Below are 27,115 nucleotides of genomic sequence, written 5' to 3' on the forward strand. Positions count from 1 at the left end.
CAGAAAAGCCTGTACTGCAAAACCACCACCCTTTTGGAGAGACAAAAGGTGAAGTATCACTTGCATTCCCACAGCTCCTTAGTCTAGCCACTGAAGACTGACGAGGCCCAGGGCCCCTGGCCCCATCTACCTTCACTGCATCAGAGCCCAGGGTAACTCTACTAGCAGCAGGTAAGCCGATCTCTTTTTTAAATCAATACTGGGGCCACCTACTCAACTATGCCTGAATTCTCAGGACCAACTCATCCCTCCCAGGTCTCAGTTGTAGGGGTTAATGGACTCATCTCGAGTCCACGCACCACCAAGCCTCTTACCTGTTCCCTATTTCATACCGTTTTCTCACACCCTTTTCTTATCATGCCCTGTTACCCTAACCCCATCCTAGGCAGAAACCTCCTAACCAAATTAAAGGCTTCCATTACCTTCCTCTGTTCCCCACAACCAGACTCTCACCTACTCCTTTCTGCTACTGAACCAGCCCTGGGCCCCTCTCCCCAGTATCCACTCTCCTCTTCTCTGGTTAATACAATAGTGTGGGATACTACTACCCCTTCCCTAGCTACACACCACGATCCTATCAAAATCCAGCTAAAAGACGCCTCCAAATTCCCTAACATCTCTCAATATCCCATCTCAGTAGCTCATCAAAAAGGCTTACAGCCCATCATAAACAAACTCCTTTTGCGCAGCCTTCTCAGTCCAACTCATTCTCCATATAATACCCCCATAATTCCTGTTAAGAAGGCAAATGGCTCCTATCAACTAGTCCAAGACCTCTAGGCTATCAATCAGGCAGTCCTTCCCATCCACCCAATAGTTCCCAACCCTTATACACTCCTTTCCCTTATCCCTTCCAACACAACCTACTACACTGCCATTGATCTGAAAGATGCCTTTTTTGCTATTCCCTTTCACCCTGACTCCCGAGATCTTCTTACTTTCACCTGGACTGACCCTGAAACCCTCCAGTCTCAACAACTTACTTGGAAAGTCCTCCCTCAAGGCTTTAGAGATAGTCCCCATTTCTTTGGGCAAGCTCTGGCCCAAGACCTCACATCGCTAAACCTCTCCCCTTGCTGGCTCCTTCAGTATGTGGATGACCTCCTCCTCTGCAGCCCCTCCCTAAAAGACTCTCAAACCCACACTACTGCCCTTCTAAACTTCCTTGCTGATAAAGAATATAGGGTTTCCCCCTCTAAGGCACAACTCTCCACCCCAACAGTAACTTAGGAGTCCAACTCTCCCTCAGAGCCCAAGCCATGACCCCAGCACGGGAGATAGACAGTCTACGTCCACCCTTCTCCAAAAGAGAAATCCTTTCTTTCTTAGAACTAGCAAGATCCCTAATTTTGCCCTCCTAGCCTGCCCTCTTTATGAGGCAGCCAAAGGCCCTCCAAATGAGCCCCTAAATCCTTCACACAACATAATCCCCAGCTTCCTCAAACTAAAGGCAGCTCTTGTAACTGCTTCTGCTCTATCTTTGCCCAACATCTCTCAGCCTTTCACCCTCTACACAGCTGAAAACCATGGAATAGCCCTTGGCGTCCTCGGTCAACAAAAAGGAAGTCCTCCTTCCTTCACTCCTATAGCTTACCTTTCTAAACAACTAAACAACACCATCTGAGGATGGCCAGCCTGCCTCAGAGTCCTAGCAGCAGCCACCATGCTAGCTTTAGAAAGCAAAAAGCTAACATTCAGCCAAGACATCACCATATATAGCCCACATAATCTACAAGATCTTCTCTCCTCCCAAGTACTGAGCACCTTTTCTCCTTCCCACATCCAACTACTCCATGCTCTTTTTCTTGAGAATCCTGAATTCTGCCTCTCCAAAAATGCTCCCCTCAGTCCTGCATCTCTACCTCCAGTGTCTTCCTCTTCTCCCATCCACTCCTGTACTGAAATCCTTGATCACCTGCTGCATCATTTTCCCAATATCTCCCCGGAACCTCTTCTTGATCCTGATGACCAGTTATTTATAGATGGCTCCTCCTCCAAGTCCGTCAATTCCAATAAAATTGCTGGATATGCTTGACAGAGTAGTTAAAGCTAAGCCCCTACCCCCTGGAACCTCCTCCCAAAAGGCAGAACTCATAGCTCTCACTAGGGCCCTAACCCTCTCAAAAGGCAAACGGGTCAACATTTTTACAGACTCTAATTATACCGATCACATTCTTCATTCTCGCACCACCATCTGGCAGAAAAGAGATTCCTTACTGCCAAAGGAACCCCCGTTAAAAACGGCCCCCTTATTTACCAGCTCCTCCAGGCTGCATGCCTCCCAACTTAGGCAGGGGTTATATACTGTCAGGGACGTGAAACAGTATGAGACAAAATATCAAAAAGGGAATAGAAAAGCCAACGAGGCTGCAAAAGAAGCCTCCCTCTCATCAGCCCCTGCCCCTGTCCTCCTTGTTACCCCAGCAATCCAACCCAGGTACTCCCCCACCAAGAAGGCTTTGCTACTACAGCAAGAAGCCTCCTTTCAAGGGGACTGGATAATCAAAAGTCAAAAGCTCATCCTCCCCCAAGAACAAACCAAATAAATTCTAACATCTCTTCACCAATCCTTCCATATCGGTGCACACTTCCTGTACCTACTCCTTTGCCCTTATTTCTCCTCCCCCCACCTATTCATCTCACTAAGACACATAACCTCAAACTGTCATATATGCTCTGTTACTTCCTCCCAAGGGGCCCTCCGCTCTCCTCCTATTCCTACACATCAGCTCAGAGGAACACTCCCAGAGGAGGACTGACAGGTAGACTTCACCCACATGCCTCCCGTCAAGAAGACAAAATTTCTTCTTACTCTTATAGACACCTTCTCTGGGTGGGTAGAGGCATTACGTACCTCTTCAGAAAAGGCCGCAGTAGTCTCTCAAATCCTTACAACAGAAATCATCCCTATATTTGGTCTCCCTCACTCCATACAATCAGACAATGGCCCTAGCTTCATCTCCCAGATCATCCAACAGGTTTTTCAGTCCCTTGGCGTCCAGAGGTGCTTCCGTATCCCATAATGGCCCCAGTCATCCAGAAAAGTCAGAAGGGCAAATGGGATCCTTCAGGCTCAGTTAACCAAACTCAAGCTTAAAGTCCAAAAACCATGGACCTCCCTTTTGCCCATAGCACTGGCCTGCATCAGAGCAAGTCCGAAATCACCCTTCTTCCTTAGCCCATTTGAGTTAATGTATGGACGCCCTTTCCTCTTACAAAACAGGCCTCCTCTCGACTCCCAGCTAGGAGAATATCTCCCAACCTTCTCCCTTATCCGTCATCTCCTCTGTGAATGATCAAGCCCTCCCAAAACCCCACAAAGGCCCCACTGACTGGACTCTCCTACCAGGAAAGTATGTCTTCCTAAAAACTCTTAACCCAACAAGGCTAAAACCAAGGTGGGAAGGCCCTTTTCAAATTATCCTTACAACCCCCACTGCAGCCAAACTCAGGACATGCCTCTTGGTACCATCTTTCCAGAGTAAAAAGGGCTCCTGCAGTGCCTACTGAACCACAGACTGTCCTCCACCAATCCTCCAGCACCCTCCTTTGTCCAACCAAACTCTGCCTGACGCCCATCCCTGAAGAAGGCCCACGAGCGGTAACTCTTTTACATATCACTTCTGCCCCTGCTACAGATGCCAAGGTCCTCGTGACAAGGAACAGCCTCACCCTACAGCATACCAAATATTAGAATCCCTCTCTTCTCTCCCCATTTCCACATGAGGAAAAGTCTTAACCCACCTATACCTTGCCCATCTGCAAGGAGAATTTGACCATCCATGGGACGCTATCAGCCACCTCATAGACCCCCTAGAAGAAGCCACCTCCCTGTATGGATCCTACCAGCTCCTCTCTCCAACAACAGATTCTGATTCTTCCTCAGATTCCTAATTCTTTTGACAGCCAGCCCCATGGCCTCTACCTCCTCAGGGTCCCTTCTCACTTCTACAAGTCTCGAATGATCTCTCAACCTCACTCACTTTTTGTTACTGTGCTCCAATTCAACATTTGCTTCCAGTTTCTGGACCTATTTTTGCCTTTCCTCTACTGCCTACTCAGCTATCCCAATTTCTTAGCCCTGAGACCATTTTCCCATTCACTTCTCTTACAACATCCAAAAGGGACCTGCCTTTGTAGACAGAGCCCTCACTCTCACTGGAAACTATCCCACTGCCCTCACTGACAGAGCTACCAAGCTCCTCTTCAATCTATATTGCCAACTATGATGACTCAAAACTCCCATACCCCACCATCCAAGGTCTCATAACTCTCCATACCACAAGACTTGGCCAAGCCCCCTTATGCATCACCTCTTCCAATGGACACGTACACGTAGGCACCCTCCTTCCCTCTGCCTGTAACTCAACCCGAACCATCTCTCACCCTTCCTCCCATATCTCACTCTGAGTGGATTATTCAGTCTCCCCTGAAGTCAACGGTCTCTTTACTCAGCCCTTCTGCATTTCCTCCCTCCCACCTCTCAAACATGGAAACCCCTTCCTTGGACAGGAGTGCTCAAAGGGGTTTCTGTCTCTTTCTCACTCTGGGTTGCTGAAGCTGAGCCAAGTCCCTCCAAGTGGGGAACCTACAAACTGCAACACCTACTCTCAATCCACCTGTCTGTTTGCATAAATACCTCAGGCATCTTCTTTCTCTGCGGGTCCACAACATACTTCTGTCTCCTTACTAACTGGACAGGCACTTGCGCCCTAGTCTGCCTTACTCCCAACATTAACATTGTCCTTTCAAACCAGGAACTCCCTGTTCCAGCTACAATACATACCCACTCAAAAAGAACAATACAGTTGATTCCCTATTCACAATAGCAAAGACATGGACAGGCCCTAAATGCCTATCAATGGATAAAGGAAACACGGTATGGTCAGACGCGGTGGCTCATGCCTGTAATCCCAGCACTCTGGGAGGCTGAGGCAGGTGGATTGCCTGAGCTTAGAAGTTTGAGACCAGCCTGGGCAACAGGGCAAAATCCTGTCTCCATGCAAAATACAAAAATAGAAATTGGCCAGGTGTGGTAAAGCACATGTGTAGTCCCCCCACACCAAGTACTTAGGAGGATGAGGTAGGAGACAATTGCTTGAGCCTGGGAGGTTGAGGCTAAAGTAAGCCAATATCATGCTATGACACTCTAGCCTGGGCCATAAGTGTGACCCTGTCTCCAAAAATAAAATAAAATAAAAGATTTAGTAAAAACAAAATATGGTACATAAACATCGTGGAATACTCTGTGGCCATTAAAAAAAGTGATCATGTCCTTTGCAAAAACATCAGTGAACCTGGAGACCACTATTCTTAGAAAACTAACGGAGAGCCTGGGCATGGTGGCTTGTGCCTGTAATCCCAGCGCTTTGGGAGGGAGGTGGGCAAATCACCTGCAGTCGGGAGTTTGAGACCAGCCTGACCAACATGGAAAAAGCCCATCACTACTAAAAATACAAAATTAGCAGGGCATGGTGGCATGCACCTCTAATCCCAGCTACTAGGGAGGCTGAGGCAGGAGAATCGCTTGAACCTGGGAGACGAAGGTTGCAGTGAGCCAAGATTGCACCATTGCACTCCAGTCTGGGCAAAAAGAGTAAAACTCCATCTCAAAAAACAAAACAAAAAACAACAAAAAAAGAGAAAACTAATACAGAAACAGAAAACCAAATGCATGTTATTATTTATAAGTAATAGCTAAATAATAAGAACACATGAACACAAAGAGAAGAACAACAGACACTGAGGCCTAGATGAGGGTGGAGGGTGGGAGGACTAAGAGGATGAGAAAACAGACCTGTTTGGTGCTACGGGTAGTACCTCAGTGACAAAATAATCTGCACACCAAACCCCCATGACATAATTTTAGCTGTAAAACAAAGACACATGTATATCCCGAACCAAAAATAAAAGCTAAAAGAAAAAATATCCCTGGATGGCAGAGTGCAATGTAGCTGAAAGGACTGATTTTCACTACAGATAGTGGCCCAGGTGGGGCTGTACTGATTTATTTCTGTGTGAATGCAGGCAGATGAGATCATGAACAGGTGGCCCAGAAGCTTAGGTTGGTGGAGAAAACAAGTTGCTGCTGCAGATTCAGTGTCTGAGGGTGGGGATATGCCAGAAGACTTGTAGACACTTGTGGGTTCTTGGCAAGAAACACTAGGATCAAAAATGCAGTGGTGAAGTTCCTGAGGGTGGTGCCTAGTCCTGGGAGGAGTGTGGACACATCAATGTCTAGTGTGTGTGTGTTTGTGAGTGGGTGGAAATCCTGTGGTGGCAGATGCAAGACAGGGGTGTCTGTTCTTAGAGGTCCTTTTCTCTAAGTTTTCAGTCTTCTGTCACCCTGGGAGAAGACCTGGAATCACAGGAAAATGGGCAGTGTGACAGCCTGTGTACAGGAGAGCAGAGCCTCCCATTTCCAGAAACCCAGAGTTTTACTCCAGGCCAGGCCTCCATAATATCTTTTTTTCTGGCACCAAATCTGTAGTTTGCTGAACATCAAACTATCCTCCAACACCAACTCATTGTCTAACATTTGAATTCTGACACCACCCAGAGTCAGCACAGACCCTGATTCAGGGCTCGGTCCCACAACACTGTCCTCACTGCAGATGCCAGCCACAAACCCCACAGGCCCATCTATGCTTCGGAGCCACTATTTAAAAACTGGGGACTCCCATCGCCTCCCTGAAGTTCAATAATTTGGTAGAGCTACTCGCAGAACTCAGGAAAACACTGTAGTTATGTTTACTGTTTTAATATATAAGATGCAGCCCAGGAAAAGCCAAGTGGAAGAAATGCATAGAACAAAGAAAAGAGATGGGGGAAGATGAAACACATAGATAATCCTGGAAAATATTTGTGATTAATAAAATTCTCCATCCTTTGTGTGCTCCAGGAACAGTTTATGGAAAGAAACACTCTTCCCATTATGACTTAGATAGTCCTCTGTTTTACCTATCACACAGCCAGACACACACTCTGCAGATTTTCTCCTTTTTCTCATTAGAAAAATCAGCTGAATTTGTCTTCAGTGATCAAAATTATTATTTTTTTTTAATGGAGTCTCGCTTTGTTGCCTAGGCTGGAGTACAGTGGCTTGATCTCGGCTCACTGCAATGGCTGCCTCCTGGGTTCAACCAATTCTCCTTCCTCAGCCTCCCGAGCATCTGGGATTACAGGTGCCCACTGTGACACCTGGCTAATTTTTGTGTTTTTAGTAGACACAAGGTTTCACCATATTGGCCAGGCTGGTCTCGAACTCCTGACCTCAGGTGATCCGCCTGCCTTGGCCTCCCAAAGTGCTGGGATTACAGGCATGAGCCACCTCACTTGGCCTAAAATAAAATATTTCTTAATCAAATTTAAGCTTATATCCCTCCCTTAGGCTCCTGAACTTTGAGCTACCCTCAGTCTGAGTCAACATACAACCCCATTTTATGTCCCTCCTAAGAGCATGCTGATTTCAGGGTAACACATTCTCTGATCTAAAATCTGACTTTTTCACCCTCCATTTGCCATTCCCCTCCCACCTACTTTCTAATCTTGTTTGCTCCTCCCTAGGAAAGAAAGCCCTTTTCAGCCTACATCTTTGCAAGCCACAAAGACCTTCCTTATAGTTAGTTGGTACTTCCTCCTGTTGCAATAATTTTTTGGAATTTTTTTTACATAAATCTAACATTTTTATTTTACACAGTCTAAAAAATGCCTCAAAACAGTAACAACTTCATCATCAGTAAGAACCTCCCAGTTTCCTTTCACCTTAATCTTAACTGCATCTGCCTGTGGGGCCCCAGCTTTCCAGGGCTCTGTAGCTTCTCTCAGAATAAAGGATCCTTCCATGGCTGGGGTGAGCAGGCTGGGACATCTGCAGTGGAGACTCCCCAGAAAAAAGTAACTGGGCCTTTAATAACCTTCTGTTGGCCGGGCTCGGTGGCTCATGCCTGTAATCACAGCACTTTGGGAGGTCGAGGTGGGCGGATCACCTAAGGTCGGGAGTTCGAGACCAGCCTGACCAACATGGACAAATCCCGTCTCTACTAAAAACACAAAATTAGCCGGGCGTGATGGTGCATGCCTGTAATTCCAGCTACTCCAGAGGTTGAAGTAGGAGAATTGCTTTAACCTGGGAGGCAGAGGCTGTGGTGAGCCAGATCACACCATTGCACTCCAGCCTGGGTGCACAGACACACACACACACACACACACACACACACACACACCAAAAACAAAAAACAAAACAAAACAAACAACCCTCTGTTGCAGGCTTAATATTAGCCTTAGCTTGGAATCACTAGGTTCAAGCTTTAATTTCCATGTCAGAGTTATTCACTTTGTTTTTGAAAGTAAGTGTTTGAAAATTCCAGTGAAATTACTCAAACACAGTGTTTATATAAGGGAAGGAAATTTTAAGATGCTTACTTTTTTTTTTTTTTTGAGATGGAGTCTTGCTCTGTTGACTGGGCTGAAGTGCAATGGCATGATCTCAGCTCACTGCAACCTAAGTTTCCTGGGTTCAAGCAATTGTTGTGCCTCAGCCTCTTAAGTAGCTGGGATTACAGGTGCTTGCCACCATATCCAGCTAATTTTTGTATTTTTAGTAGAGACTCAGTTTCACCATGTTGACCAGGCTGGTCTACAACTCCTGAACTCATGATCCACTCGCCTCAGCCTCTCAGAGTGCTGAGATTACAGGCGTGAGCCTCCGGGGATCCGACGCACAATCCCGGTTGGCTTACCCTTAAACTTTTTCCAAATAGGGTAAACTCGTGATTTTGCGAGAAAAGGAGAAGGGGAAAGAAGAAGGGATAGGGTTGATTTACAGCTTTTACAACTTATGACCAGGAAGTTGTCTTTGAAGAGGAACTTCGTTGTCCCAACAACTCCTTACCTCAAGTGATCCACCCACCTTGGCCTCCCAAAATGCTGGGATTACAGGCGTAAGCCACCTAGGCTCGCCCCATAAATTTTTAATAGGAGAAAAGAGAAACTGTCAACCCCATGGTCCAAAGCTCTTCCCATTCATGGACCCGCACCCCGAGTCAGGATTCTCCCCTGACCACCCTCCCGTGGTCCCTGCACAATCTGGGAGAGACGCCACACTGCAGGCGCAGAGCTGCCCAGACAGGGCTCCAGGCCAGGGCACAGTCGCTGCACAGGGAAGAGGCAGGACACCCAGGTGTGGGGAAAAGGAAGAGAGATCAGATCGTTACTGTGACTATGTAGAAAAAGGAAGACAAAATAAACTCCATTTTGATCTCTAGTAAGAAAAATTGTTCTGCCTTGAGATGCTGTTAATCTGTAACTTTCGTCCCTACCCTGTGCTCACAAAAACATGTGCTGTGTAGACTCAAGGTTTAATGGATCTAGGGCTGTGCAGGATGTGCTTTGTTAAAAATGTGATTGCACGCAGAATGCTTGGTGAAAGTCATCGCCATTCTCCATTCTCTATTAACCAGAGACACAATGCACTGCGGAAGGCCGCAGGGACCCCTGCCCAAGAAAGCCTGGGTATTACACAGGTTTCCACTGACTGAGATAGCCTGAGATATGGCCTCATGGGAAGGGAAAGACCTTACAGCCCCCAAGCCCAACACCAGTAAAGGGTCTGTGCTGAGGAGGATTAGTGAAGAGGAAGGCCTCTATGCGGTTAAGAGGAAGGCATCTGTCTCCTGCATGCCTCTGGGAATGGAATGACTTGGTGTAAAACCGACCATACATTCTATTCTGAGACAGAAGAAAACTGCCATATGGCTGGAGGCGAGACATGGTGGCGGCAATACTGCTCTGCTACTTTTTACCACAATGAGATGTTTATGTAAAGTTAAACATAAATCTAGCCTACGTGCACATCCAGGCACAGCACCTTCCCTTAAACTTATATATGACACAGAGTCTTTCGCTTACGTTTTTCTGCTGACCCTCTCCCCACATTCACCCTATAGTTATGCCACATTCCCCTCGCCGAGATAGTAAAGATAGTGATCAATAAATACTGAGGGAACTCAGAGACCAGCGCGGGCGCAGGTCCTCACTTGCTGAGCGCCATCCACTGGGCCCACTTTTCTTCCTCTGTACTTTGTCTCCATGTCTTATTTCTTTTCTCAGTCTCTCATCTCCACCTTGCGAGAAATACCCATGGGTGTAGAGGGGCAGGCCCCCTTCACCCGGGATTCTGGCTGTCAGCACAGCTGCCGTCTTATGGCTGAAGGGGACTGAGGCCAAGCTGGGCAAGGAGAACTCGGGCGCAGATTGTGGAGATTACTGTGGGGAGGCCTGAGTCCCGCCACAGCCACATCACCCCGGTTCCAACTAGCCCCTCCCTCACTCTCAGGATGTCGGACTGGCACTGTCACTGTTTCTAGGCTTCCAGGGGGTCCTGGAGTCTTAGCTGTGGATCTCCCAAAACCTGCAGGTCAGAGGGACACAGAGCCTGGGCCTCTAGGAGCAGACGACACAGAGTAGTGAAGACCAGACCTGGAGCTCCCGCTGCAGCGAGAGACAAAGGCCCCACCAAACCCAGAAGTCGTCCTGTTCGCTTCAGCTTCATGCCTGATTTGAGGATTTCCTGCCCAGCGTCCCTGACTGGATAATGCTTAAGGCTCCGCCCCTTCAGGCCCTGAGTGACAGAAGATGTCATCAGATGCTGGGCTGAGTGAAGAAAGACTGACAACCTAAGCTGCAGCCTTTTCAGGCAGGGTTTCCTCCCTGAGCTGAGCCAAGCCCACCCCAGAGCTTGGGGAAATTCTCTCTCTTCTTTACTCTCTCTTTTTGAATTTATTCAAAAGGTGAACAGAAGTATTTTGCTTTCATATTAATAATACATAAAATTTTTGTTCAAGAGAAAATCAACTTTTACTTTGGTAGTAGTGTATTTTGAATACTAAAGCTAATTTTAATAAACCTTATAAATAAATCAAATTTGTCATTTTTGACCTCTCAAGATTTACATATATATTTTGTAATCTCTTGTAATTTTTTAAATTTTTTCTATTTTGTTTTTACCTATATTCTTTTTATTATTTCAATTCAAAACAACCTTTAAGTAATTTCAAACTGTTATAGGAGATAGAAAGAAGTCATTTAGGGCCAGCCACGGTGACTCACGCCTGTAATCCCAACACTTTGGGAGGCCAAGGTGGACAGATCACTTGAGGTCAGGAGTTTGAGACGAGCCTGGCCAACATGGTGAAACCCCATCTCTACCAAAAATACAAAAAATTACCCAGGCGTGGTGGTGCACACCTGTAGTCCCAGCTACTCTGGAGGATGAGGCAGGAGAATCAATTGAACCCAGGAGGCAGAGGTTGTGTAATGGCCCAAGGAGTTCACCTTGCCCTTTGCCTAGACAGAGCCAATTAATCAAGATGGGGGAATTTGTGGAGGAAAAGTTAAATATTAAATTTGAACTTAATTGAACATGGACACAAACAATAGTCAACAAGTCATGGAACAGGTTGTGTGAGCCCCTTGAGGCATTCATCCAGCGCTGTTTTGGAGAAATCTCTATTTTAATCTATTCCTATACATTAGTTATTGAAAAACAATAGACAATCGCAAAAAAAGTTGATCTTCTTGTGTTTCTTGAGCCCAGTCGTGAAGGGCCCTCGTGACTGGGCCTCATGCCAAACAACTCGTTACAAAAAGAGCTAGGATCCCAGACTGCACCGAAGTTTTGTGAGACCTCTCCTTGTCTGTGCACGGATGGCTGGATGACTCTGGAGCCCAAGCTGTTGCTTCCCAGTCTGGTGGTGAACCCTCCATAGTCCGATGAGTGTGGTGTCCAACTCTGGAGCCCAGCCTGTTGCTTCCTGGTCTGGTGGTGAGTCTCCATAGTCTGGTGTGGAGGCAAATTTGAATATTAAATTTGAACTAATTGAATGTGGACACAAACAATGGTCACCAAGTCCTGGCACAGGTTGTGTGAGCCCATTCAGGGGTTCATCCAGTGCTGTTTAGGAGAAATCTCTATTTCAATCTATTCCTATACATTCGTTATTGAGAAACAATAGACAATCACAAAAACAAGTTGACCTTTTTGTGTTCCTTGAGCCCAGTCGTGAAGGGCCCTCATGACTAAGCCCCATGCCAAAAAACTTGTTACAAAAGAGCTAGGGTCCCAGACTGCACTGAAGATTCATGAGAGCTCTCCTCTTCTGTGCACAGATGAGTGGCCGACTCTGGAGCCCAGGTTGTTTCTTCCCAGTCTGGTGGTGAATCCTCCATAGCCTGGTGAGTGTAAATATATATATATCTCTTTTCCATTCTCCTCTTCCCATCACAATTTGCTTATTATATCAATCTGCTTATTATATTGATTTGCCTATTATATCATTTGCCCATTATATCATTTGTTTATTATATCTGTGTAGGGTCCAGCCCCATAGGGTTGGTGGGTTTTTCTCCCTGTGTGCAGAGATGAGAGAGTGTAGAAATAAAGACACAAGACGAAGAGATAAAAGAAAAGACAGCTGGGCCCGGGGGACAACTACTACCAAGATGCAGAGACCGGTAGTGGCCCCGAATGCCAGGCTGCACTGATATTTATTGGATACAAGACAAAGGGGCAGGGTAAGGAGTGTGAGCCATCTCCAATGATAGGTAAGGTCATAAGAATCACGTGTCCTTTGGACAGGGGGCGCTTTCCTGCCTGGCAGCCAAGGCAGAGAGAGAGAGGTGAGAGAGAGACAGCTTATGCCATTATTTCTGCTTATCAGAGACTTTTAGTACTTTCACTAATTTGCTACTGTTATCTAAAAGGCAGAGCCAGGTGTACAGGATGGAACCTGAAAGCAGACTAGGAGCGTGACCACTGAAGCACAGCATCACAGGGAGACGGTTAGGCCTCCAGACAACTGCAGGCAGGCCTGACTGATGTCAGGCCCTCCACAAGAGGTGGAGGAGTAGAGTCTTCTCTAAACTCCCGCAGGGAAAGGGAGACTCCCTTTCCCAGTCTGCTAAGTAGCAGGTGTTTTTCCTTGACACTGACTTTACCGCTAGACCATGGTCCGCTCGGCAACGGGCATCTTCCCAGATGCTGGCGTTACCCGCTAGACCAAGGAGCCCTCTGGTGGCCTTGTCTGGGCATAACAGAAGGCTCACACTTGTCTTCTGGTCACTTCTCACTATGTCCCCTCAGCTCCTATCTCTGTATGGCCTGGTTTTTCCTAGGTTATGATTGTAGAGTGAGGATTACTATAATATTGGAATAAAGAATAATTGCTATAAACTAATGATTAATGATATTCATATATAATCATATCTAAGATCTATATCTAGTATAACTATTCTTATTTTATATATTTTATTATACTGGAACAGCTCGTGCCATCAGTCTCTTGCCTTGGCACCTGGGTGGCTTGCCACCCACATATCTGCATTGCCATTTATGTGGTATAAGGCTTGTTACCCTTAAAAGTATTGTGTGTATCTTTTCTTCTCCTCTTGCATGTTTCCCACCCAGAACATTTTTGGTGTCACAAACAGGATTTGAAAACAAAAGGTGCAGGTTTTGGCCAGAAGGACAGGGCTGGAGGCTTGGGGACTTCCCATATATCGGGATGGGAACTCCACCAGTTCTCCCCCATGGCAACCGAATGGTCAAGGGGAACTGGCCTTTGTGGGAATTGAGAATTAAATTAGTGCAATTTAAACCTTTGACTGTGCGGGAAGTGCTGCAGGAGATTCCAGTCAGCAAAGGAGATGCTGAGGGATCCCCTGGAGTCGATGGTGTTTGCTTACTGCTAATAAATTAATGTATCAAGAGAGGGGCTGGTTGCTACAAGATATTTTAAGTTGGAAAAGAAAAATGCTAGTGTGATTTCCAGACTGGCCCTGGCCCAATGCCAGGCCTATATCTTGACTGATCAGGCTCAAAGCTATCACCCTATTACTGAAAAAAGCAGCCGTCCGAATGGCTCGGTTAGGTTAAAACTGAAGAGCTAGTTTGCTGGGGCTTGGAGCAGGTAAAAACCCAGCTCCTACCTCCAGGATGGGAAATTAAACTTAGTAAAATTCAAGGACCTGCATAAACTGTAAAATTCCTTGGCATCCTATGGAATGCAGAGATATAGTCCATTTTACAAAAGGCTAAGGCTAAAATATTAGAATTTGCAAACCCTACTACTTAAAAGGAGGCCCAGACATTTATTGGCTGGTTTAGATTCTGGAGACATCATATTCCCCACTTGGGTAACATTTTACAACCTCTGCATGCAGCCACTAGAAAACGCTATGACTTTCACTGGGGAAAGAAGGAGAACATGGCTTCTGAACAAGCTAAATGAGTGGGTCAACTGGCCCTGGATCTATGGCCCATACAGGATGGGCCAGGAGAACTGCAAGTAACTGTCCTAGATCAAAATGCTAATTGGAGCCTTAGGCAGAAACAAGGTGGGAAGAGGGTACCTTTCAGGTTTTGGACCCAGAAACTGCCAGAGGCCGGAAAAGCTTATACCCCTTTCAAGAAGCAATTGTTAGCTTCTTATTGGGCTTTGCTGGAAACAGAACACCTCTGCTTCAACCATGATGTCTTTATGAGGCCCGAAACTCCTATTATGACTTGGCTCATGAGTTCCCCCAAAACCCACCAGATAGGGCATGCCCAAGAAGGAGCATCATAAAATGGACGTGGTACATACAAGACCAGGCTAAGCCAAAACCAAAGTGGGTATCACTTTTACATGAGGATGCACAAAACCTGCCAGCTCAGGAAATCATGGAGCAAGTCCTGCAGGTAGGGAAGGAAATCCCCTCACTCCCACCCAGTGGGGCAAATCCTTTGAAGAACTAAGCCCAGAGGATCAGAAACATGCTTGATTTACAGACGGATCCGCCAAATACATTGGTGGGACCTGATGCTGGAAGGCTGTGGCTTATAATCCTGTTAAAAACATAAAAATTTCTGATGAAGGAAGGGGTGGGAGCAGCGAGTTAGCTGAACTAGTAGCCATCCTTCAAGCTATTCAGGAGGAAGGCAGAGGGATTTCTCACTTGTATACCAAATCTTGGTCAGTACCAAATGGTCTTTCTACCTGGAAGCCCCAATGACAATGAAACAAATGGTTAATTCAGAATAAAGAGGTTTGGGGACAACAATACTTGGAAGATATCTCAATCCATTGCACACTGCCATTATCACTGTTTCACTGTTATCACTGTTTCAACAAGGTTTCACCATGTTGGCCAGGATGGTCTCGATCTCCTGATCTCGTGATCCGCCCACCTCAGCCTCCCAAAGTGCTGGGATTACAGGCGTCAGCCACCATGTGGGGGAAAGAAAGAGAGATCAGACTGTTACTGTGTCTATGTAGAAAAAGGAAGACATAAGAAACTCCATTTTGATCTGTACTAAGAAAAATTCTTCTGTCTTAAGATACTGTTAATCTGTAACCCCAGCCCCAACCCTGTGCCCGCAGAAACATGTGCTGTATTGACTCAAGATTTAATGTATTTAGGGCTGTACAGGATGTGCTTTGTTAAAAATGTCTTTGCAGACAGTATGCTTGGTAAAAGTCATCGCCATTCTCCAGTCTCCCGTACCCAGGGACACAATGCACTGCGGAAAGCCGCAGGGACCTCATGCCCAAGAAAGCCTGGGTATCGTCCAAGGTTTCCCCCCACTGAGACAGCCTGAGATATGGCCTCATGGGAAGGGAAAGACCTGACCATCCCCCAGCCCGACACCCATAAAGGGTCTGTGCTGAGGAGGATTAGTGAAAGAGGAAGGCCTCTTTGCAGTTGAGATAAGAGGAAGGTATCTGTCTCCTGCTCATCGCTGGGAATGGAATGTCTCGGTGTAAAACCTGATCATACATTCTATTTACTGAGATAGGAGAAAATCACCTTATGGCTGGAGGTGAGACATGCTGGCGACAATACTGCTCTTTACGACACTGAGATGTTTGTGTAAAGTCAAACATAAATCTGTCCTACGTGCACATCAAGGCACAGCACCTTTCCTTAAACTTATTTATGACACAAAGTCCTTTGCTCACATGTTTTCCTGCTGACCCTCTCCCCACCATTACCCTGTAGTCGTACCACATCCCCCTCACTGAGATGAAAGAGATAGTGATCAATAAATACTGAGGGAACTTAGAGACCAGTGCCGGGTGCGGGTCCTCCGTATGCTGAGCGCCGGTCCCCTGGGTCCACCTTTCTTCCTCTATACTTTGTCTCTGTGTCTTATTTCTTTTCTCAGTCTCTCATCTCCACCTTGTGAGAAACACCCACAGGTGTGGAGGGGCAGGCCCCCTTCACCACCATGTGCAGCCCTGTTTTCCATGTTGATGCCCATGCATCTCTGCTTTCTCTTGACAGGCTATTTAATCAGCAGGAAGAAAAACAGGCCACAATTTCCACCATAACAGTAAACTTGAATGTGGATGAATAGATTACAATGTGTTCAAGCCTTGCAAAGAGAGGCATTATAGTGTATGGTGGTGTAATTGATAGTGATTACCAGGGAGAGTTAAAGGTCATTTTATACAATAACACTCCAGATTCTTTTGCTATAAAACTAGATGCTGGTTACTCAATTTTTAGTGGTACCCTTGTCAACAATTAACTCCTGAGGAAATCTCTGCCCCAACAGAGTCTACATACAGAACTGGGGGATTCAGATCCCCTGGTACAGGTAGCTTAAATCCTGGAGCCAAAATATGCATACAGCGTCCATCACATCTTGACCCTAAGGCTGGTGACCTTGTAGCTATGAAAGCGGGAAATGAAGGCATAGTACAATTTCCTAAAGATGAAAAATAAATCATGTTCCACTCCATTTTTGTTATTACAGGGAATAACCTATCTACTAATGGTCAGCACCTGTGTCTTTGTGTCTGAAGCCAAGAATAAATTCATCACCTGGGTAGCCACCGCTGCAACTGAAGCCATCCACAGTCAATGTTGGCTATATGTTGAGTTGCCGGAGGCTGCCTGGGATGGGCTATCTTGAAGAATCGTCCCTGACAACATTTCTGAATGGCTATATTGTTACCAGTAGGGCCACAACAACAACAACACTTGCAATCCAACCTGGGCTTCCTTTCACCACACTAAGCAATCTATCTTTGCCAGGTCAGACAAAAGATGAACTCCACCCTCACCTTGCATCAAAAGTCTTGATATCTTGCCCAATAATCCTGGAACAATATACACTGAAAACCTGCTGTGCTGGTGGCTGGATTCCATACAGGCTTCGCTTTTTCTGGAGGCCTTAAATGGCTCCTCTAATGTTTCTTTGGGGTTTCTTCAGACATTTGTCAACACATACTCCAAATCAACAACACTGCCCCCCAATGAACCACAATCTCTTTCCTATTTTAATAACACATTAGTACACTATGATTACAGTAGCTCCATTGCTGTCCCCTGGGGGGCCCTCTGGGTATGCAGATCCTATGGGTTGCAATACTGTCCCTGCATTGGATGGGAAGATGCACTTGAGGGTGGACATTAATTCCATTCACTATCCGGGATAATATTCCCTTCCCCAGTAATCTAGATGCTTACAAACACCACTGGTTACAAATGTGCTGGTCTCCCTGGTGGTGGTACCCTATCACAGTATTCTCCCCTGCCACCAGTACATTCCTCCTTCACCAACACATTAAAATATTTACCTTACATGTAGAAAAAGCTCTTAATGATAGTAGCACTGAACTTGTGTTGTTATCAGATGAATTTGCTCAGCTGCGTACTATTGTGTTGCAAAATCAAATGGCATTAAAAATGCTTACCGCAGCCCAAGGAGGGGTTTGCACGTTACTGCAAACTGAATGTTGTGTGTATATCTCTGGTAATTCTCACAATATGACTCTCCTTGGAAAGCCATGCTGAGTGTGGTTTTTATTAATTGTGCTTTTAATTCTCCTGTGTTACCCTGTATCTGTAATCTATATCAATTATGCCTTTTCCATGTATCTGAGAGGGTATTTTCCTACAATTGAGTATCCAATTGAGGCCAAATGTGGAGGGAAAGTTAAATATTAAATTTGAACTAAATTGAATGTGGACACAAATAATGGTCACCAAGTCCTGGCAGAGGTTGTGTGAGCCCCTTGAGGCGTTCATCCAGTGCTGTTTCAGAAAAAAATCTTTATTTCAATCTATTCCTATACGTTAGAAATTGAAAAACAATAGGCAATCCCAAAAACAAGTTGGCCTTTTTGTGTTCCTTGAGCCCAGTCACAAAGGGCCCTTGTGACTGAGCCTCATGCCAAACAACTTGTTACAAAAAGAGCTAGGGTCCAAGACCGCACCAAGGCTTCAAGAGACCTCTCCTCGTTTGTGCATGGACGGGTGACCGCCTCCGGAGCCCAGGCTGTTTCTTCCTGCTGTGGTGACAAATCCTCCATAGTATGGTGAGTGCGGTGTCTGACTCTGGAGCCCAGGCTGTCACTTCCCTGTCTGGTGACAAATCCTCCATAGTCTGATGAGTGTAAATATATATACATGTTTTTTCCCTTCTCCCCTTCCCATTGCAATTTGCTTATTATATCAATTTGCTTATTATATGTGCATGGCCATTTACATGGAATAAAGCTTGTTTACCCTTAACGGTATTGTGTATGTGTCTTTTCTTCTCCCCTCATGCATTTCCTACACAGAACACCATATTTCTCAGAGGCTTTGTTTGCTCCTTTTAATTCTTTTTTCTGTAAACTTGTCTGCATGCCTCATTTCGGCAAGGTGGTCTTCAAACTCTGATATCCTTTCTTCTGCTTGGTCAATTTGGCTATTGATACTTTCGTATGCTTCACGAAGTTTTTGTGTTGTGTTTTTCAACTCCATCAGGTCATTTATGTTCCTCTTTAAACTGGTTACTCTATTTAGCAGTTCCTCTAACCTTTTATCAAGGTTCTTAACTTCTTTGCATTGGGTTAGAACATGTTTCTTTAGCTCAGCGGAGTGTGCTGTCACACATCTTCTGAAGCCTACTTCTGTCACTTCGTCCATCTCATCCTCTGTCCAGTTCTGCACCCTTGCTGAAGAGACATTGTGATCATTTGGAGGAGAAGAGGCACTTGGGCCTTTCAGGGGTTTTTGTTGATTCTTTCTCATCTTCATGAGTTTGTCTAGTTTCCATCTTTGAGACTGCTGACACTTGGATGAGTTTTTTTGTTCTGTTTTGTTTTGTTTTGAAATAGAGTCTCACTCTGTCACCCAGTATGGAGTGCAGTGGCACAATCTTGGCTCACTGCAACCTCCGCCTCCCAGGTTCAATTGATTCTCATGTCTCAGGCTCCCAAGTAGCTGGGACTACAGGCATGCACCACCACGGCAGTCTAAGTTTTGCATTTTTTAGTATAGGCAGGGTTTCACTATATTGGCCAGGCTGGTCTCGAATTGCTGACCTCAAGCAATCTGCCTGCCTCGGTCTCCCAAAGTGTTGGGATTACAGGTGTGAGCCACCACGCCCAGCCTTGGATGGGGTTTTTGTGGGTATGCTTTTGTTGTTGATGCTGTTGTTGTTTCTTCCTGTTTGTTTGTTTTTCTTTCAATAGTCAGGTCCCTCTTCTGTAGGGCTGCTGCAGTTTGCTGGGGGGTCACTTCAGGCCCTATTCATCTGTTTCACTCCTGTACCTGGAGATGTCACTCAAGAAGTTTCGAGAACAACAAAGAAGGGTGCCTGCTCCTTTCTCTGGGATCTCTGAACTCAAGAGGCACCAACCTGATACCAGTAGGATCGCTCCTGTATAGAGTGTCTGACAACCCCTGCTGAAGGGTCACACCCAGTTGGGTGGCATGGGGAGCAAAACCCATTAAATGAAGCACTTTGACTGTTCCTTGGTGGAGGAGGGGCTTTTTGCTAGGGAAAATCCCACTCGTCTGGGCTGCCCGAATTCCTCAGAGCAAGCAGGAGGAAAGGCTAAGTCTGCTGATTCACAGAGGATGCAGCCTCTTCTCCCCCTAGGGGCTCAGGCCCAGGGAGATCACAGTTCTGTCCCTGAGCCCCTGGCTGGAGCTGTTGGAGTTCCTGCTGGGAGGCCCTGCCCAGTGAGGAGGGATGGGTGAGGGTCAGGCCTGAAGAGACATTCTGGCTGCAGTCAGCCACAGCCGGTGTGTTGGGCTGTGGGGGACACCTCTTGAGACCAAGCTGTCCAGCCTCCCTGGCTCTAGCAGGGGAAAAGTGTGGTCAGGAGCTATAGATATGGCTGCTGCCTTTCCCCACCCAGGGATCTTAGCCTGTTAGGCAGTTGTGAGTCCCCGTGCTGGCTGCTGTCCCTCCCCCAAGGAGCTCAAACAGCTTAGACAGCAGCAAGCCACAGCTGTGGTGCTGGTCGTCCCTCCACTGGGAACTTAGCAGGCTTAAGCAGATTCTAGCTGAGAGGCTGTTGAGAATCTGCTCAGCTCCAGGGTTGTGTCAGGCACAGTAAGTTCCTCTTCAAAGGGTAACTTCCTTGTTCTTTGTTCTCAAATTCAACTTCCTTGTACCTTCCTGCTCCTAACTACCTGCTCTTCCTGCCAGTAAACAACTCTTCCAGCCAGTCCCAATCTGTAACCCACATCTCTTCTTATTTGGAAGAAGTCCTCCTCACTCCTAGTTACCTGCTCTGTAAACAAACTTCCCGCCTTTCTCTATTTAGCCAATCCAGTTAGTTTAGATTGTGCAGTCTGACTCCAGCCAATGGGGACAGGACACAGAAGTAGGGACTGCATTAGGGATAAAAACCCCTTCCCTCTCTTGTATGGTGTGCTCTCACAACAGCCAGAGACATGAGCAGCCTCTTCTGCAGAAGTAAATTTGCCTTGCTGAGAAATTCGTTGTTTGAGTGCTCATTTTCTTTGTGACTCCAAGCTCTTGTTTCCAACAGTTGGAACCTTAGGCTCCAGTGGCGTGGGTTCACAAGTTGAATCTTCTAATCAGTGGGATTCACTGTTCCATAGAGAAAGCGCAGTTTCCCAGACTGAGTAGCCTGCTCACTCACTGCCCCCCTTGGCTGGGGCTGGGGGCTCCCCAGCCCCATTTGGCTGTCAGGTGGGTTGCCACACCACACTGCTTTTCCTTCCTCTCCATGGGTCACACCAGCCACCTAGTCAGTTCTGATGAGAGAAACTGGATACCTCAGATGTCAGTGCAGGATTCACATGCTATTATGGTTCTTTTCTATGGGATGCTGCTGCTAGTCAGCCATCTTGGCCCCACCCCCACCAATTTTTCTTTGAATGTCTGATAGAGTTCAGCAGTGAATTCATCTGGTTCTGAACTTTTGTTTTTGCTTGGCAATTTGTGAAATTATTATTTCAATCTCACTGCCTGTTATTAGTCTGTTCAGAGTTTGTTTTTTTAATCTAGGAGGATTGCACATTTCCAGGAATTTATTCATCTCCTTTAGATTTTCTAGTTTTTGCATGTAAATGTGTTCATAGTAGCCCTGAATGTGATCTTTTGTATTTCTGTGGCATCAGTTGCAATAGCTTCCATTTCATTTCTAATGGAGCTTATTTGGATCTTCTCTCTTCTTTTCTTGGTTAATGCTGTTAATGGCCTATGAATTTTATTTATGTTTTCTAAGAGTTAGCTTTTCATTTCATTTATCTTTTGTATTTTTTTTCCGTTTGTTTCAGTTCATTTAGTTCTGGTCTTTCTTTTCTTCTGCTAGGTTTGGGTTTGACTTGTTTTTGTTTCTCCAGTTCCTTGAGGTGTTATCTTAGATTGTCTACTTACGCTCTTTCAGACTTTTTGATGTAGGCATTTGATACTATGAACTTTCCTTTTAGCACTGCTTTTGCTGTATCCCAGATGTTTTGATAGGTTGTGTCACTATTATCTTTCAGTTCAAAGAATTTTTAATTTCTATCTTGATTTCATCCAACGATCATTCAAAAATGGGTTGATCTTAAGTTTAATGTTTTTTCCAAAATTTATTTAATTTTCAAGTATTTGCATGGTTTTGATGGTTCATTTGGAGTTGATTTTCAATTTTATTACACTGTAGTCTGAGAGAGTAGTTGATATGGTTTTGATTGTCTTAAATTTATTGAGACTTGTTTTGTGGCCTATCATATGTCTATCTTGGAGAATGTTCCATGTGCTGATGAATTAAATGTATATTCTGAAGTTGTTGGGTAGAATGCTCTGTAAATATCTGGCAAGTCCATTTCTTCTAGGGTATAGCTTAAGTCCATTTTTTTTTTGTTATTGTTGACTTTCTGTCTTGATGACTTGTCTAGTGTTGTCAGTAGAGTATTGCAGTCCCCCATTATAATTGTATTGCCATCTATGTAATTTCTTAGGTCTAGTAGTAATTGTTTTATAAATTTAGGAGCTCCAGTGTTAGGCGCATACATATTTAGAATTGTGATATTTTCCTATTGGACTAGTTTCTTTATCATTACATAATGTCCCTCTTTGTCTTTTTCTTTTTGACTGTTTTTGCTTTAAAGTCTGTTTTGTCTAATGTAAGAATGGCTACTACTGCTTTCTTTTGGGGTATATTTGCATGGAATATCTTTTTCTAACCCTTTACCTTAAGTTTAAGTGAGTCGTTATGTGTTGGGTGAGCCTCTTGAAGACAGTAGATATTTCGTTGGTAAACTCTTATCCATTTTGCTATTCTGCATCTTTTAACTGGAATATTTAGGCCGTTTACATTCAACGTTAGTATTGAGATGTGAAGGACTATTCTATTCATTGTGCTAGTCATTGCCTGAATACCTTCTTTATTGTGTTATTGTTTTATAGGCCTTGAGAGATTTATGCCGTAAGGAGGTTCTATTTCATTGTATTTTGAGGTTTTGTTTCAAGATTTAGAACTCCTTTTAGCAGTTCTTACAGTAGTGGCTTGGTAGTGGTGAATTCTCTAAGCATTTGTTTGTCTGAAAAAGACTGTATCTTTCCTTCATTTATGAAGCTTAGTTTCACTGGATACAAAATTTTTGGCTGATACTTGTTCTGTTTAAGGAGGCTAGACAGAGGACCCCAATCGCTTCTAGCTTGTAGGGTTTCTGCTGAGAAATCTGCTGTTAATCTGATATGTCTTTCTTTATAGGTTATCTGATGCTTTTGTCTCACAGCTCTTAAAAATCTCTTCTTCATATTGACTTCAGATAACCTGGTGACTATGCGCCTAGGTGATGATCTTTTTGTGATGAATTTCCTTGGTGTTCTTTGAACTTCTTGTATTTGCATGTCTAGATCTCTAGCAAGGCCAGGAAAGTTTTTCTCAATTATTCCCTCAAATAAGTTTTCCAAACTTTTAGATTTCTCCTCTACCTTGGGAACACCAATTATTGTTAGATTTTATTGTTTAACATAATTCCAAGCTTCTTGGAGGCTTAGCTCATTTTTAAATTCTTTTTTGTTTGTCTTTGTTAGATTGGAATATTCAAAAGTCTTGTCTTTGAGGTCTGAAGTTCTTTCTTCTACTTGTTTGGTTCTATTGTTGTAATTTCCCACTATAATTTGCATTTCTTTAAGTGTGCCTTTCATTTCCAGAAGTCATGGTTGTTTTCTATTTATGCTATCTATTTCTCTGGAGATTTTTTTCATCCATATCCTGTATTTTTTAAAAATTTCATTAAGTTAGTATTCACCTTTCTGTAGTGTCTCTTTAAGTGGCTTAATAATGGAATTTATGAATTCTTTCTCTGGCAATTCAGGGATTTTTTTCTTGGTTTGGATCCACTGCTAGTGAGCTTGTGTGGTCCTTTGAAGGTGTTAAAAAAAATTCTTGCTTTTGGCCAAGCATGGTGGCTCACAGCTGTAATCCCAGCACTTTGGGAGGCTGAGGCGGGTGGAACATGAGGTCAGGAGATCGAGACCATCCTGGCTATCACGGTGAAACCCCATATCTACTAAAAAAACAAAAAGCTAGCCAGGTGTTGTGGTGGGTACCTGTAGTTCCAGCTGCTTGGGAGGCTGAGGAAGGAGAACGGCATGAACCTGGGAGGCGGAGCTTGCAGTGAGCCGAGATCATGCCACTGCACTCCAGCCTGGGCGACAGAGTGAGGCTCTGTAACCAAAAAAAAAAAAAAAAAAAAAAAATTATTGCTTTTTTATATTACCAGAATTTTGTTTTGGTTCCTTCTCATTTGGGTAGTCTATGTCAGAAGTAAGACCTGAGGCTCTAGGCTGCTGTTCAGATTCTTTTGTTTCATGGGGTGATCCCTTGATGTGATGGTCTCCCCTTTTCCCTTGGGATGGGGCTTCCTGAGAGTCAGACTGCAGGGATTGTTATTGCTCTTCTGGGTTTAACCACCCAGTGGAGCTACTGGTCTCTGGGCTGGTACTGGGGAGTATCTGCAAAGAGTCCTGTGATGTGATCTGTCTTCAGGTTTCTCAGCCATGGATAATACCACCTGCTCTGGTAGAGGTAGCAGGGGACTAAAGTGGACTCTGTGAGGGTCCTTGGTTGTAATTCAGTTTAGTGCACTGGTTTTTTTGAATGCAGGTTGTTCTAGCAGTGAAGTTGTCACATGGACAGACTGAAGACTTCTGTGTAGCCAGGATGTTACAATGTTACAGGTGGAATTAGCTGTTGTTTTCTCCTTTATTGGAGTGGGTTTTTTTTTTTTTTTTTTTTGAGATGGAGTTTCACTCTTGTTGCCCAGGCTGGAGTGCAGTGGCACGACCTTGGCTCACTGCAACCTTGGCCTCCTGGGTTCAAGTGATTCTCCTGCCTCAGCCTCCTGAGTAGCTGGGATTACAGGCATGTTCCACCATGCCTGGTTAATTTTACATTTTTAGTAGCGAGGGGGTTTCTCCATTTTTGTCAGGCTGGTCTCAAACTCCTGACCTCAGGTGATCCACCCACCTCAGCCTCCCATAGTGCTGTGATTATGGGTGTGAGCCACCCCACCTGGCAGGGGTCATTATTTTGTGAGTTACTGTAAGGGCTTGAGTTGGTTGGCCTCCAACCTGGAGGTGGCAGCTTTAAGACAGCATCAGCTGTGGTAATATGGGGGTATGCAAGCTTGCCACCAGGTCACCTGGATAAGTATTCATGTTTTTCAGGCAATGAGTGGGAACATAGAGCTCCCAAGAGAGTATGTCTTTTGTCCTCAGCTACCAGGGTGGGTAGAGTAAGACCATCAGGTGAGGGCAGGGTTGGACATGTCTGAGCTCAGACCCTCCTTGGGTGGGGCTTGCTGCAGCTGCTGTGGGGTTGGGAGTATGGTTCTCAGGCCAATGGAGTTATGTTTCCAGGGGGATTATGGCTGCCTCTGCTGTATCATATAGGTCAGGATGGAAGTGAAGGAAAGCCAGCAGTGACAGGCCTCACTCAGCTCCCATGAAGCCAGCAAGGCCAGTTTCACTCACACCCTACCCACCAACAGCATCAAGTTTATATCCAGTTGGTGAGCAGTACTGAGATCTTGCCCCAGGCTATAAGCCTCCCCATTGAGAAAGCAACCTGGGCTTTCAGGCCCCACCCCTCACCACCTGCCATGGATTCTGTGCCCATATCTGTGCTTCCCATTCACTGTCCCCTCACCGATTCTGCCAAGGAAAATTCACACTAGGTCAAAACTATTACAAAGTTTAGCTGGCAGTTTCCTTCTCCCTGTGGTTCTTCCCCAATTCCACTGGCAGCCCGTCCCAAGGACCCCTGTGAGATAAAGTCAGAAACGGCTTCCCTGAGGACCAAGAGTGCCTGTAGGGCTCTTCCCACTGCTTCTTCTACTTTTATATTTTGCTTGGCTCTCTAAGTTCATTTCGGCTCTAGGTGAGGTTAAATGCTTCTCTGGTGATCTGGATTTTCAGGTTTTGAGTATGTGTGTTTAGAGGTGAATGTTCCGTCTCTTACACTTTTGGCACTTTCTGTTTTTCAGTTGTCTCGCAGAGGTTGCAGTGGCAAGCCACTTCTTTCAAAGAGTCTGTGCATTCTTTTGGTTTTCCTGGTATGTTTCTATGGTAGTTCTTGGAGCAAAAGTTCATGATGAGAGTCTCCACATGCTGTTCTGTCCATCCAAGTGGGAGATACAAGTTAGTCCTGTCTCCTAGCCACCATTTTTTCTTTTTGCCTTTTGAGAGAAAGATATTGATTGACTCTTCATCAGAGATTTAAAAAAAACTGTTAAGTAGGACTTCTCTCTCTTTCTTTTTCTTTTCTTTTTTTTTTCTTTTTTCTTTTCTTTTTTTTTTTTTTTTTTGCCAAGGAGTTTTATTCTTGTTGTCCAGGCTGGAGTGCAATGGCACGACCTCGGCTAACTGCAACCTCTGCCTCCCTGATTAAAGCAATTCTCCTGTCTCAGCCTTGTGAGTAGCTAGGATTACAGGCATTTTGTATTTTTAGTAGAGACAGTGTTTCACCATGTTAGTCAGGCTGGTATCGAAATCCCAATCTCAGGTGATCCACCTGCCCGGACCTCCCAAAGTGCTGGCATTACAGGCGTGAGCCACTGCACCTGGCTCTCTTTATTGTTTTAAACAGAACTCTAATTTTTCTTCAGGCCACTGATTTAGTTTCTTATTATACATTTATTTATTTATCTGTTTCTTATTGCCTGTCCCCCCAACTAGACCAATTGCAAAAAATTCAACTGCAGAAATATAAGGTAAGTTTTTCATGGATGATTACTCATTAACTATAAATACATAAAAATTTTATGTACACATTTATCTGAGCTGCCCTCATATGGCCTTCTACAGAATGCTTGAAGTTAGATTAAAAATAATCTACAGATAAATATTCACTGATAGAATGCTTAAAGTTGAAGCCTACTGGTGAAAATGTTGTTCCTTTCTCACCAGAAATGAAGTAGATACATTTATTTCTGGACTTGCTATTATGCTTCATTAGTGTGTGTTTATTTTTATCCAGTGCCATGCCGTTTGCTTATTGTAGCTTTTTTTTTTTTTGAGACAAGGTCTCATTCTGTTGCCCAGGATGGAGTGCAGTGGCTTGATCATGGCTCACTGTGGCCTCGACCTCACAGGATCAAAGGATCCTCCTACCTCAGTGTCTCAAGCAGCTGAGACTACGGGTTTGTGCCATTATTCCCTGCTAATTTTTGTAGTTTTTGTAGAGATGGTGTTTTGTTATGTTGCCCAGGCTGGTCTAAAACTCCTGGGCTCAAGCAACCCACCTTGGCCTCCCAAACTACTGGGATCACAGGTGTGAGCCACTACACCTGGCCTTACTGTAGCTTTGTAATATATTCAGAG

General features: G+C 45.0%; 1 pseudogene, besides 1 other annotated feature; it reads left to right on the plus strand.

Moving 5' to 3' along the window:
* BNIP3P12 (BCL2 interacting protein 3 pseudogene 12) overlaps positions 1–27,115 on the plus strand; it is a 65,535-nt pseudogene that overhangs the window by 2,618 nt on the left and 35,802 nt on the right.
* Positions 12,880–13,174: a silencer, noted in NCBI's record as "tiled region #9515; HepG2 Repressive non-DNase unmatched - State 4:PromP". NCBI's record gives its function as "represses a minimal TATA promoter and a strong SV40 promoter by Sharpr-MPRA in HepG2 cells {active_cell/tissue: HepG2}" and the evidence as "EXISTENCE:reporter gene assay evidence [ECO:0000049][PMID:27701403]".

Source organism: Homo sapiens, chromosome 19 (assembly GCF_000001405.40).
Source record: "Homo sapiens chromosome 19, GRCh38.p14 Primary Assembly".
NCBI lineage: Eukaryota > Metazoa > Chordata > Mammalia > Primates > Hominidae > Homo > Homo sapiens.